The sequence below is a fragment of the Homo sapiens genome, chromosome 15, assembly GCF_000001405.40.
Source record: "Homo sapiens chromosome 15, GRCh38.p14 Primary Assembly".
Lineage (NCBI taxonomy): Eukaryota > Metazoa > Chordata > Mammalia > Primates > Hominidae > Homo > Homo sapiens.
In genome coordinates, this window is record NC_000015.10 from 64,557,013 (window position 1) to 64,569,288 (window position 12,276).

At 40.2% G+C, this 12,276-nt stretch overlaps 1 protein-coding gene and 1 long non-coding RNA gene across 6 annotated transcripts in view, besides 4 other annotated features; one reads left to right on the top strand and one right to left on the bottom strand.

The window, feature by feature from the left end:
• ZNF609 (zinc finger protein 609) overlaps positions 1–12,276 on the top strand; it is a 226,491-nt gene that overhangs the window by 97,435 nt on the left and 116,780 nt on the right. The window lies entirely within an intron of this gene.
• The window catches only part of LOC101930091 (uncharacterized), a 92,612-nt gene that overhangs the window by 14,912 nt on the left and 65,424 nt on the right, over positions 1–12,276 (bottom strand). The window lies entirely within an intron of this gene.
• Positions 376–877: an enhancer, noted in NCBI's record as "H3K4me1 hESC enhancer chr15:64849587-64850088 (GRCh37/hg19 assembly coordinates)". NCBI's record gives its function as "activates a minimal SCP1, AML or CMV promoter by ChIP-STARR-seq in naive H9 embryonic stem cells {active_cell/tissue: H9 hESC(naive)}" and the evidence as "EXISTENCE:reporter gene assay evidence [ECO:0000049][PMID:30033119]".
• Positions 878–1,377: an enhancer, noted in NCBI's record as "H3K4me1 hESC enhancer chr15:64850089-64850588 (GRCh37/hg19 assembly coordinates)". NCBI's record gives its function as "activates a minimal SCP1, AML or CMV promoter by ChIP-STARR-seq in naive H9 embryonic stem cells {active_cell/tissue: H9 hESC(naive)}" and the evidence as "EXISTENCE:reporter gene assay evidence [ECO:0000049][PMID:30033119]".
• Positions 6,080–6,649: an enhancer, noted in NCBI's record as "H3K27ac-H3K4me1 hESC enhancer chr15:64855291-64855860 (GRCh37/hg19 assembly coordinates)". NCBI's record gives its function as "activates a minimal SCP1, AML or CMV promoter by ChIP-STARR-seq in primed H9 embryonic stem cells {active_cell/tissue: H9 hESC(primed)}" and the evidence as "EXISTENCE:reporter gene assay evidence [ECO:0000049][PMID:30033119]".
• Positions 6,650–7,219: an enhancer, noted in NCBI's record as "H3K27ac-H3K4me1 hESC enhancer chr15:64855861-64856430 (GRCh37/hg19 assembly coordinates)". NCBI's record gives its function as "activates a minimal SCP1, AML or CMV promoter by ChIP-STARR-seq in primed H9 embryonic stem cells {active_cell/tissue: H9 hESC(primed)}" and the evidence as "EXISTENCE:reporter gene assay evidence [ECO:0000049][PMID:30033119]".

A 12,276-nucleotide genomic window follows, 5' to 3' on the forward strand; every position in this document is an offset into this window, starting at 1 on the left:
TAATATTAAATTTAGTTCTTCTTTCTGACATTTTTGGTAAGAATGAGATTCTTGGTTTTGGAGATAGCACAGACTATTAGTTTGAAATTATGGGATTTGGTATGTCACATATTATTCAGAATGCTAAAATATCTGCCACTGAGCAAACCTGAAATGTAATTCTTTTTTCTTATTCTTCTTTTTTTTTTTTTTGACAACTTCTGATACCAAAAAAATGTGTAATTCTTTACATACCTTCTAATAGTAGATGGTCAGATTTTTTGTACGTGCAGTGATTTCAGAGAACATTGAAAAATAATCAGGAACTGGTTCAGTTTGCACAAATTTACTCTTCTACTCCTTCTTCTGCACCCACTAAAAATTGTGAAACTGTGCAGATGTAATAAATATATTGTGTGTAGGCTGAAGTATGATACAGAGTGTGAAACTGAAATATTTAGTCCAAATTTTTATTCAGCAATGAATAAAAATTCCCAGGGCAATGAATAATTCTATCGAGGGCTGAAATTAGTGGTGGGGATTGGTGGAAAGAGAGATGGAGCTCATTTTATGAAGTCTCATAAATTTGGCATGAATCTTATAATCAGTGAAGAGCTATTAAAGACTTTTTGATCAGGGTAGTGTCATGAAATTGAATTTTAGGAATTTTTTAGGAAGCTGAATACTGTTAGTGGTATATAGAAAGATTTTCTGGTTTTTTTTGGGACGGAGTCTCGCTCTGTCGCCCAGGCTGGAGTGCAGTGGCGCGATCTCGGCCCAGTGCAAGCTGCGCCTCCCAGGTTCACGCCGTTCTCCTGCCTCAGCCTCCCGAGTAGCTGGGACTACAGGCGCCCACCACCGCACCTGGCTAATTTTTTGTATTTTCAGTAGAGACGGGGTTTTACTGTGGTCTCGATCTCCTGACCTCGTGATCCGCCCGCCTCGGCCTCCCAAAGTGCTGGGATTACAGGCGTGAGCCACCGCGCCCGGCCGAAAGATTTTCTTAAAGGAGGAGATACCAGGAAATCACTTTATAGTCTATTGGTGTATATCATACATAGACTATTGCTTTTTGGTTTGTTATTTACTACTGTAATTCAAGGTGTAAGTAGCCCCAGCTTAATATAGTTTCTCATAAATTTTCATTCTTAACCTCTCCCAAGAAGCTCACCATACTTAACTCTCCATTATTGCTGTACCTTTTTTGTTCTCCAAATTGTAATACGTACATTTCTCTACCTGTCACCCTTTGATTTCCCCTTCCCTTGCCATCTCTTGCCACCCCTACCCCCACCTCCTACCTGGGTTCCAATCCTGGTTCTGCTTACCATGTAACTGTGGCAGTTTACTTTATCTCTCAAAGCCTCAATTTCCTCATCTATACAATGTGAATAATAGTTTCAGCTTCATAGGGTGGTTGGGAGAGTTATTAGGTAAATATATGGAATACTCTTAAAATAATGCTTGGCACTTAATAAGTACTATGTAAGTATTGTTACTGTTGTCTGGCTCATATTTATTTTTCTGATCTTAGCTTAGAGTTTATATCTTCCTTCTGGGAAGTCCTTTCTGCCCAAAGCTGAGTTACATATTCCTCTTTGTGTTGCCACAGATTCCTGTGCCTCCCTTGCCATGTTGTATTGTCATAGCCTAATTGTTTCATTGCCACAAGTTCTTTTTCTGCTTCCATCACATCATCACATCCTTCTTGATTGGCAAATAGTAACTACTCAATAAATATTTGTTGTCTAGCACATACATACAGTTCAAACAGAAAACTAAAATAGACTAAAGTATGAGGAAATCTTGGTATTGGAACTTAACTATTGAGGTTTATTTCAAAGAATTTTATTTTGCAGCTTCTTTTGTATAGCTTTGAAACTCTAAAATATTTCCTTTTTTTTTTTTTAGTTGCCATTTCCTTTGAGTCAGCAGGCCTTTCATCTGGACCTTGACCCAAGAAGTTATGATTTTTCTCACTGTTTCACTCTATCTCCCAGTCTGAAATAGAGCATTGCACTTTTTAGTGTCTGAGAGATATCATGCCTTTGCAGTTAAATTCTCTTCTGTGGCTTTGGCTGGAATGTGAGTAAATTTCCAGAGAGGATACATAATTCCCAGGCTGAACTCTAACCTTGTGAACTATTTTAATGTGTGGCCTCATAAATGTAAATTTTTTAAATTTTAGACCAAGGAGGTGCTTGTTGTTCTGCCTTAATTGCAACTTCTATTTAGAAAGAAAGGATCTCTTGGCTTTAAGATAGAATCAAGAGGTGATAGTAGTGAGACTCAAGTCCTGAAGATAAAAACAGAAAGGGCCAAAAGCTCACCTCTTGGTTAATCAGGCAGGTGTGGAGGTTATGGAAATCCTCAAAGATAAAAAGTGCCTGATGGCAGCAACCAAGGGGAAAGGAAGATTGGCTGAGCCCCTGGGGTGTGTAGCAAGGAGACCATTGGTAGCCAAGTTGGAATCTGAGAAGCGGCCCTGTAGCTGAACACTAGAAAAGCCTTTGCGTGAGGTATTCCCAATTCTAACATTTATTTATCACCTTCTGTGTACCAGGTTCTGTGATCATTGTTAGGAGGAATGAAATAATGACATAGCCTTCTAGAGAACCTCAGTATCCAGCAGGAAAGATGGGCATATAATGAATAATTATATTAATAACTTTAATAAGATCCCCTACCACCTATAAACTCCATGAGAACATAGAACATGTCTGTTTTGTGTCTAGCACTGAGTGGTCGCTCAATAAGTATTTATTGAATAAATGAATTTGTTTAGCCCTTTCTAGTTTACTATGTGCCTTCACAGATATCTCGTTTAATATTCTACCTTCCTTTTCTATTCACCCACTTTGTGATGTAAGCAAGATAAATAATAGTATCCGTAGCAATAATAGTATAAGACAATAAACTGAGTTAAATAGAAGTTAAAATGATAAACAGAGAAGGGAGTAAAATAGGAGCTTTTGTAGCTACATCTTAATCAGATGAGTTGTTATACCTCTGTCCAGTATCTAGAGTAATTACATACTTACCACCCTTCCTCTTGTCTCTCTGGGTTTTTTTTGAGACTGAGTCTCGCTCTGTCACCACGCTAGAGTGCAGTGGCACAATCTCAGCTCACTGAAAACTCCACCTCCCAGGTTCAAGTGATTCTCCTGCCTCAGCCTCCCGAGTAGCTGGGACTACAGGTGCATGCCACCACACCTGGCTAATTTTTTTGTATTTTTAGTAGAGATGGGGTTTCACCATGTTGGCCTGGATGGTCTTGATCTCTTGACCTCGTGATCTGCCCGCCTCGGCCTCCCAAAGTGCTGGGACTACAGGTGTGAGCCACCACACCCAGCGTCTCTCTGGTTTTTTAATTTGTTTTTTTTTTTCCCCCCGCAGAAGATCCTTTGGTTTTCTACTAGATGTTATTCCATCTAGATAGTGTTTATTTATTGTTCATAGTCATCTCTTACCCAGGGAATTCCTTATTTTGTATTCCTGAAATCGAAATATTCTTTCATACTCATTATTTAGATGCTAAGAGAAAACTTGGGGACCGCTCTTCCCAACAAGATTGTCTCAAATTTTGTGCCCATCTGTGTGCATTCACGCACATGAGCATGTGTGTGGAGGAGAAGAGGAAAAGAACAGAGATGGAAAAGATTTTGAAGTGGGATGCTTGGCAAGAGGAGTAAATAGATGATAATTATGAAGAAGAAATTGGCAGGATTTCTTAACTGACTAGATTATGGGAACAAGGAGTAGAGAAACAGGTCAAAGTTGGCTGAAGTCCATAGAATGTATATTTTAATTTAAGTGCTAAATTTCCTCCATACATTTTTCATGAACTTTGAAAAATTTGTTGGCTTTATACGAACCTGTGAACTTCAGTGAGAAAAACAGCATCTTTATATTTTTGAGCATAGTCTCAATGTCATTAATTCTTCTGCTTAAAAATCCTCAAATGACTTGCCAAATTAGGATAAAATCTAAATTCTGTTACCAAGGCCCCAAATTTCTACGTATCTGACTGCAACTGCCTACTTAAACTGATCTTACCATTATTCCCATTCATATACCACCCACATAGGCTTTATATCTGCTCTTACTTAAGAGTTTTTATACTTCCTGGTCCCTCATCCTGGTTGTTCCTCCCCAGTACTCAGCTTATTCAGTTATCAGCTCTTCCATACTCCTTTATCTAACGTGGTACCCTCAGTGACTTGTTATCTAACCTATTACTTTGTTTTGTTTTATTTTTATAACAGCACTTACTACTTTCTGATATTGTCATCTTGTTTGTCAGTTTTTCTCTTCTAGAGAAATCTTTGTGAGGGCAGGTTCTTGGCTCTCTACTGATTACTTGAGTCTCCATTGCCCAGCCTTCTTGTTGTATCAGTTTTAATATAGCAAACCAAAATAGGATCTTAATTTTAAAAAATAGTAATGCTACTTAAGATTTGATTACTCTTAAGACCTAGTGTTTCTGTATGCTAACTCCCTTTTTATAATGTAAAATGAATTATTCTCTCATAATATTTTTCTTTCTTTTCTTTTCTTTTTCTTTTTTTTTTTTTTTTTTAAATGATTTAGATGGGGTCTGCCTGTGTTGGCCCAGGCTAGCCACGAACTCCTGGGCACAGGCAATCCTCTTGCCTCAGCCTCCTAAAGTGCTGGGATTACAGGTGTGAGCCACCATGCCTGGGCAGTCTCATAATAATTTTCATTCCTGACTTTTTTTCAGATCTAGTCTCTAGAAAGAAACTTGTGCATACCAAGACAGTATGGCCAAAAACCTATCCTGGCAAGTGTTAATGCTATGTTTCCACTCCTGAACACCAGGAACTGAACATTGTTGTGTTTGGGTATTGTGAGTATGGAAGTCATTCAATTATTTTTCAAAGCGGGCTTAGTACATGATGTTTTGTTAAGCTACCTTGAGAACTGGAGTTTGTGTTTAAGTTTCAGTGAGATAAGGGTAGACCTCCTAATGCCTGTGAAAATTTTGATATATTTTATAATGTACCACCTGACATCATAATGTACTGCCTGACATCCAAATCATCTTTTTGAGTTTTATAAATCTCCAAACTTCAAAACTAGTAGATGCTGGTATAAAACCTAATAATTTCAGTTCAATCTTTACATTCTCCAGGGTCCACTTTTCATTCTCTTAAGTACAAGCCTATTTCTCAGTTTGGCATAGTGCCAAGAACATTGATAAATGTTGGCCCCAAAATGATTGTCAAAGTTCTGTTCACTTAAATTCACTGTAATTAGTAAGAATAGTTATCATTTATTTTGGGTGCCTTCAAAGTAGACTATGCTAGGCAACAATTTCTCTTGATAATCTCACAATAGCCTTGGCATTTGAAGAAACTTTGGCCTAGAAACATTTATGCCCCCAAGATCACACAACTAGAAAGAAGCAGAAGTTGATTTATCTCCTAAATCTATGTGACTTCAAAGCTGGTCATCCTACCACTATGCCTGGTTGCCTATATCATTTAATGTGATGAAGGCACTAATGTGACACCCACACCGGGCTCAATTTATTAGTAATCCTTCTATATCACAGCCACACAAGTGCTTAGAGTTCCTGGCTGAGATCAGTCTATATAATTATATTACACTTCTCAAGTTTAGTAGTGCTAGACAAATAGGAAGGGAGTTTTACATTCTTTGTTTATTTGCAATAATTTCATGATTGTCGTAATTAAACTATAGCCCGAGTTTAAAGAAGAAGCCAGCCAAAAAAAAAAAATTAACTCATACATTCATCCCTAAACAATCAAATCTCAGTAAAAATTTTAATATTAGCAGCAAGTTCTTTTTATTTTCTAGCAGCAGCTTCTTAAGAGAGAGGAAAAGAGGGTAAGCGTGAGTGTGTGTGTGTGTGTGTGTGTGTGTGTGTGTGTGTGTCTAGGAGAGGGGGAGAGCACATATGTCAACTAAGAGGTGAGTTTACTTCTGAAGTCCAATTGTCTAACGTATGGAGGGAGGATAACCTCCAGGCTTGGTGGTGCACACCTGTAGTTCCAGCTACTTGGGAGGCTGAAGTGGAAAGATCACTTGAGCCTGGGGGTCAAGGCTGCAGTGAGCCATGATCACGCCACTGCACTCCAGCCTGGGCAATGGAGCAAGACCCTGTCTCAAAAAATAAAAACTAAAAAATTTTAGTCTGGGCATGGTGGCTCACACCTGTAATCCCAGCACTTTGGGAGGCCAAGGTAGGAGGATCACGTGAGCCTAAGAGTTCAAGACAAGCCTGGGGAACATGGTAAAATCCCATCTCTACAAAATATACAGAAATTAGCCAGGTGTGGTGGCATATGCCTGTAGTCCCAGCTCCCTCGGGAGGCTGAGGTGGGAGGATTGATGGAACCCAGCAAATCGAGGCTGCAGTGAGCCATGATCGCATCACTGCACTCCAGCCTGGGTGGTGGAACAAAACCCTGCCTCAAAAAAAAAAAAATAATTGAAAATAACTGAAAATTTAAAAGATTGGCGGGGCGCAGTAGCTCACGCCTGTAATCCCGGCACTTGGGGAGGCCGAGGTGGGTGGATTACCTGAAGGTCGGGAGTTCGAGGCCAGCCTGACCAACATGGAGAAACCCTGTCTCTATGAAAAACAAAATTTAGCCGGGCATGGTGGCGCATGCCTGTAATCCCAGCTACTCAGGAGGCTGAGGCAGGAGAATAGCTTGAACCTAGGAGGCAGAAGTTGCGGTGAGCCAAGATCGCGCCATTGTTCCAGCCTGGGCAACGAGAGCGAAACTCTGTCTCAAAACAAAACAAAACAAAACAAAACAAAACAAAAAAACCCATATATATATAATATATATGTAATCCCTCCCAAAGTGGTGGGATTACAGGCGTGAGTCGCCGTGCCCGGCCTATTTATTTATTTTTTGAGACGGAGTCTCGCTCTGTCACCCAGGCTGGAGCGCAGTGACACGATCTCTGCTCACTGCAGCCTCCACCTCCTGGGTTCAAGCGATTCTCCTGCCTTAGCCTCCCGAGTAGCTGGGACTGCAGACAGGAGCCACCACACCCGGCCTAAATTTTAAATTGTGCCTCATTCTGAGTAGCATGATGAAATCTTGCACCATCCCACCCTGTCCCACCCAGGATGTAAACTGTTAGCCTTTATCTAGTATATGCATGTTGTATGCGCTGGCTGCTACAAAGTTAGGCACTTCGTAGCTGTGTTGGTTATCAGATCAAAAAAACAGTTTATGTAAGGTTAGGTACTATTCGTGGTTTCAGGTACCCACCGGGGGTCTTGGAATGTATCCTCCAAGGTTAAGGGTAGGGGGGACTACTGTAATTGCCTGAATGGCTCAGAAGGGAGAGCTGTTGTGGCCAGAGAAGCTGCTTGTTATGTAATCCACATTAGTACAAGATAATCATAAGATGAGCTGTAAGTATAGTGGGTGTTAGATCACTGCTGGGTCTTATTTAAGGTGGCAGGGGTGTTAGGGTAACATTTAGAAGTTGAGAGCAAAGAGTAAGGTTTGTTTTGACTTTATACAACACTTGAAGTAAAAAGCAGTTTGTTTTGTTTTCAGGCATAAAGATATCCATCCATGTGTTTGTTGTGTTGTTTTTGTTTTTTGTGGGGTTTTTTTTTTGTCATATTCACAAGGGAAACCAGAATCTGTATGTTCCTCTGGAAAATTAGGTGAAGAGAAGTATAACCTATTTCAGTGTGGCTTCAGTCTATGGTCTGGGTTTTATTAAACCAGATACGTATAAGAGCATGTCAAATTTAACCACCTCCCTTCATCCACTAGATTACAGTGAATGATAGTAATGTCACTGATACATTGTTATACACATTGCTCACTAACTGTTTTTTTTTTTTTTTCTTTTTAGAAACGGAGTCTCGCTCTGTTGCCCAGGCTGGAGTGCAGTGGTGCGATCTCCGCTCACTGCAAGCTCCACCTCCCAGGTTCACGCCATTCTCCTGTCTCAGCCTCCCTAGTAGCTGGGACTACAGGTGCCTGCCACCACGCCTGGCTAATTTTTTTGTATTTTTAGTAGAGACGGGGTTTTCTTTTTTTTTCTTTTTTTTTTTTTGAGACGGAGTCTTGATTCTCGGTCTGTCACCCAGGCTGGAGTGCAGTGGCGTGATCTCTGTTTACTGCAACCTCTGCCTCCTGGGTTCAAGCAATTCTCCTGCCTCAGCCTCTCGAGTAGCTGGGACTACAGGCAGGTGCCACCATGCCTGGCTAATTTTTGTATTATTATTATTATTATTACTATTTTTAGTAGAGACGGAGTTTCACCATGTTGGCCAGGCTGGTCTTGAACACCTAACCTCAGGTGATCCACCCACCTTGACCTCCCAAAGTGCTGGGATTATAGGCATGAGCCACCACACCCAGCCACTAACATCTTTTATCCATTAATAGTTCTTAATTTTGTTTTGCTTGTCTTTAAGTGCTTGTCCCTTTACTAGGATAAACTAAGTACTATTGATAATTTACAAAAGTGCTCCATCTTTACTGTTTACATCTACTGGCTAGAATGTCTACCAAGTTATGTAAGCATTTTTGTAAATGAATTTATTGCCTTTAGTTTTAGAAATATTGAGAGCAGAATGGAACACTGACAATCAGATTTGGCAAAAGCATTCAAAGTGATTGTTATGGTGATTCTGATCATCTCTTTAAGATAAGGGAGTTAGGAAGATTACTAGAATAAGCATCTTTAATATTGAGCTAAGATTCATTTTTGTGTTCCTTAAAATTCACCATAGTTTTGACTAAACTAAGGAGGACAGTGAGTACTTACTTTACACTGACCTATACATTCATTTAAAAGCATTCTTTAATTGAAGTACTTTATTTTATTTTATTTTATTTTATTTTTTGAGATAGAGTCTCGTTCTGTCACCCAGGCTAGAGTGCAGTGATACAGTAATGGCTCACTGGAGCCTCAACCTCCTGGGCTCAAGCAACCCTTCCACATCAACCTCTTGAGTAGCTGGAACTAAAGGTGTGCACCACCATGCCCGGCTAATTTTGTTTATTTTTTGTAGAAACAAGGTCTCACTGTGTGGGCCAGGCTGGTCTCAAACTCCTGGGCTCAAGCAGTTCTCCCGCCTCAACCTCCCAAAGTGTTGGGATTACAGGCTTGAGCCACCATGCCTGGCCCAATTGAGGTATTTTATTTTAGATGCATCTTCTAGCCAGGCAAGGTGGCTCACACCTGAAATCCCAGTGTCTTGGGAGACTGAGGCAGGAGGATTGCTTGAGCCCACGAGTTTAAGACTGTAGTGAGCCATGATCATGTGACTACACTCCAGCTGGGGCCACAGATCGAGACCTTGTCTCTAAAATGAATGAATGAATGTATGCATGAGCCTCCTGAGAAGCCATGGAGAAAGAAGCAAGCATGACCAGTCAGTGACTGACATTTAAACTGTAAGAAAAATTGACTTCATTTTATATGAACTTTAAAGGAGACACTCTGTGTAGGTAGGTACTTCAAAATATGTGTAAGTGTAATTGTATCAGAATAGGTGGCCATGATGTGATTTGATGAGACTGCCAAGAGCTAGACATTCTAGCCATTTCTTAAAAGGCCAGTTAGCTAAACACTAGTTAGGATTCATTTATTTAATTGATTCACAGCTTAAAATTAAGTGTAGTAAAGGAAACAGATATAGAAGAGATAGGGAAAGGTTTAGAGTTGGAGTGTCTTCAGCTGCTTGTGGAGGGCGTGGTAGAGACAGTGTTAACTACTTCCCAGTTTTACCTTGGGTGACCCTTGTTACAGATCACTGCTTCTGAGCTGCTTTTGAGAGCTAGTGGAGAGAGATTATATTACGTCCTAGGAGAATGTAACTCAGTTCTACTGGAGGCCACCATTCTCTTCCAGGTCATGGGTGGTACCTCTTAGTGTCACTCAGAGGTGAGGACTATTTGATGGCAGGCAACCTTAAGCTGCTGACAGGACAGAAACCTTTGTGATAAGCATTGGGAAATCTGACTCCTGGAAAGAGTGAAGCATCAAAAACTCTGTAGAGTATATGAGTTTCGCCTATTAGGCAGTTATAAGGAAATAGCTAAAAAGGAACTGGCTAATTAGAGTTGAGAGAAAATATTTATAAACAGACTTTAAATACTTTAAAAGCAGGCTTTTATTTTATATTCTTTCAGTGGGGATAGTGTGAACTGCCACCTCCTTTAAAAAGCCTTGCATTCCAGCTGGGCGCCATGACTCACTTCTGTAATCCCAGCACTTTGGGAGGCCGAGGCGTGTGGATCATGAGGTCAAGAGATCGAGACCATCTGGCCAACATGGTGAAACCCATCTCTACTAAAAATACAAAAATTAGCTGGACGTGGTGGTGCGCACCTGTAGTCTCAGCTACTCTGGAGGCTGAGGCAGGAGAATCGTTTGAACCCGGGAGGTGGAGGTTACAGTTGAGCCGAGATCACACCACTGCACTCTAGCCTGGCGACAGAGCAAGACTCTGTCTCAAAAAAAAAACAAAAAACATTCCATCTAAAAAAATTACCATTTACTTGCAGATGTTTTCTTGTGGAAGAAATAAAGTTTAAAGAAAAAGAAATAAATTACCAAGACAGCTTTCCAAATATGATGGATTAATTATCTGTATATTGTGGCAAGATATTTTCCCCCTCCCAACATTTATTTTTTATTTATTTATTTATTTTGAGACAGGATCTCGCTCGGTCACCCAGGCTGAAGTGCAGTGGCACGATCTCGGCTCACTGCGACCTCTGTCTCCCGGGTTCAAGCGATTCTCCTGCCTCAGCCTCCTGAGTAGCTGGGACTACAGACACGTGCCACCACACCCGACTAATTTTTTGTATTTTTAGTAGAGACGGGATTTCAGCGTATTAGCCAGGATGGTCTCGATCTCCTGACATCGTGATCTGCCCACCTCAGCCTCCCAAAGTGCTGGGATTACAGGCATTAGCCACGGTACCCGGCTGAGATATTTTCTCCCTCCCAACATTTTATTATGAATAATTTTAAACATACAGAAAAGTTAAGTAAAATGATCACCCACCACCTAGATTCAATAATTGTCAAAGTTTTGTCATATTTGCTTTATCTATATATGTGATTGTATTTGTTTTGCTGAACAGTTTGGAGGTTTTAAACATTATGACATTTCTCTCCCAAATACTTTATCATGACTCTCCAAAAACATGAGGACATTTGCTTATATAACTGTAATACCATTATTATACTACACAGTACTTCCTACTGTCATCTTTTATCCATGTGTAGCAAGTTATTTAGCCACTTTTAAATTTGTTTCTCCTCACTCCAGTAACCCTACACCCCCGAAAACCTTATTGTTCCTTGTCACTTTGTCATGTACCTCATGCCCAGCAGCAATTGGTGAGATGGCTTTTTCATATGGTTTTATATTTGGGAACCTCTAGAGCAGTGGTTCTCAACTTGGGCTGGACATTAGAATAACTTGAGGAGCTCTTGAAAATCCCAATCCCCCTACATCCCAGACCACATATATCAGAATTTCTGATATTCTGATGATTTCCATGCGTCAGTAGTTCTTAAAGTTTCCCAGGTGATTCTGGTGTGCATCCATGATTAAGAATCACAACTGTAGGTCCTATTAATCTTCAGTAAGAGTATTCAGTGTTTGGATAGGTGCTTGACAGTTTTCTGACCAGAACAGAGATGAAAAGTGGTATGCCTAGGTATTTAGGCTTTTTCCTTTTCTTTCACTGAACATTTACTGAACATCTACAATGTGTAAAACACTGAGCTAGGTTCCCATTCATAAGGATGAATAAGATATGTTAACTGTGGTGTTCTAGAAAGGCCATGGACTTAGGGTTAGACTTCTATGGAGTTAAATTCTAGCTTTGCTGAGAACAATTTGTGTGATTTTTAACTAAGTCCTAAACCTCTCTGGGGCTTTAACATGATGTGGTTTGTTTACCTTGCAGATATTATCTTAACCACTCTTACTACCTCTGTACTCTAGCCACACTGGCCTTCTTTCTTTTTCTCAAACATATGAAGCTTGCTCTATGTATATATGTGGCTTTTTACTACCTTCTTTTTCCACTCCCTCTGATACCCCTCTGGGATACAAATGGGCCCTTGCTAGTCATTCAGGTTTCAGTTAAAATATCATCTTCTCATTGAAGCTTCTTCTGACCATCTAATCTAAAATAACTTCCTGGATAGTCCATATCATATCATGGTGTTTGATTTTCATTGTGGCATTTATTCCTCTTAGATAGTTTCTTGTTTGTTATGGGCTTACTTTCTCCTCTATTA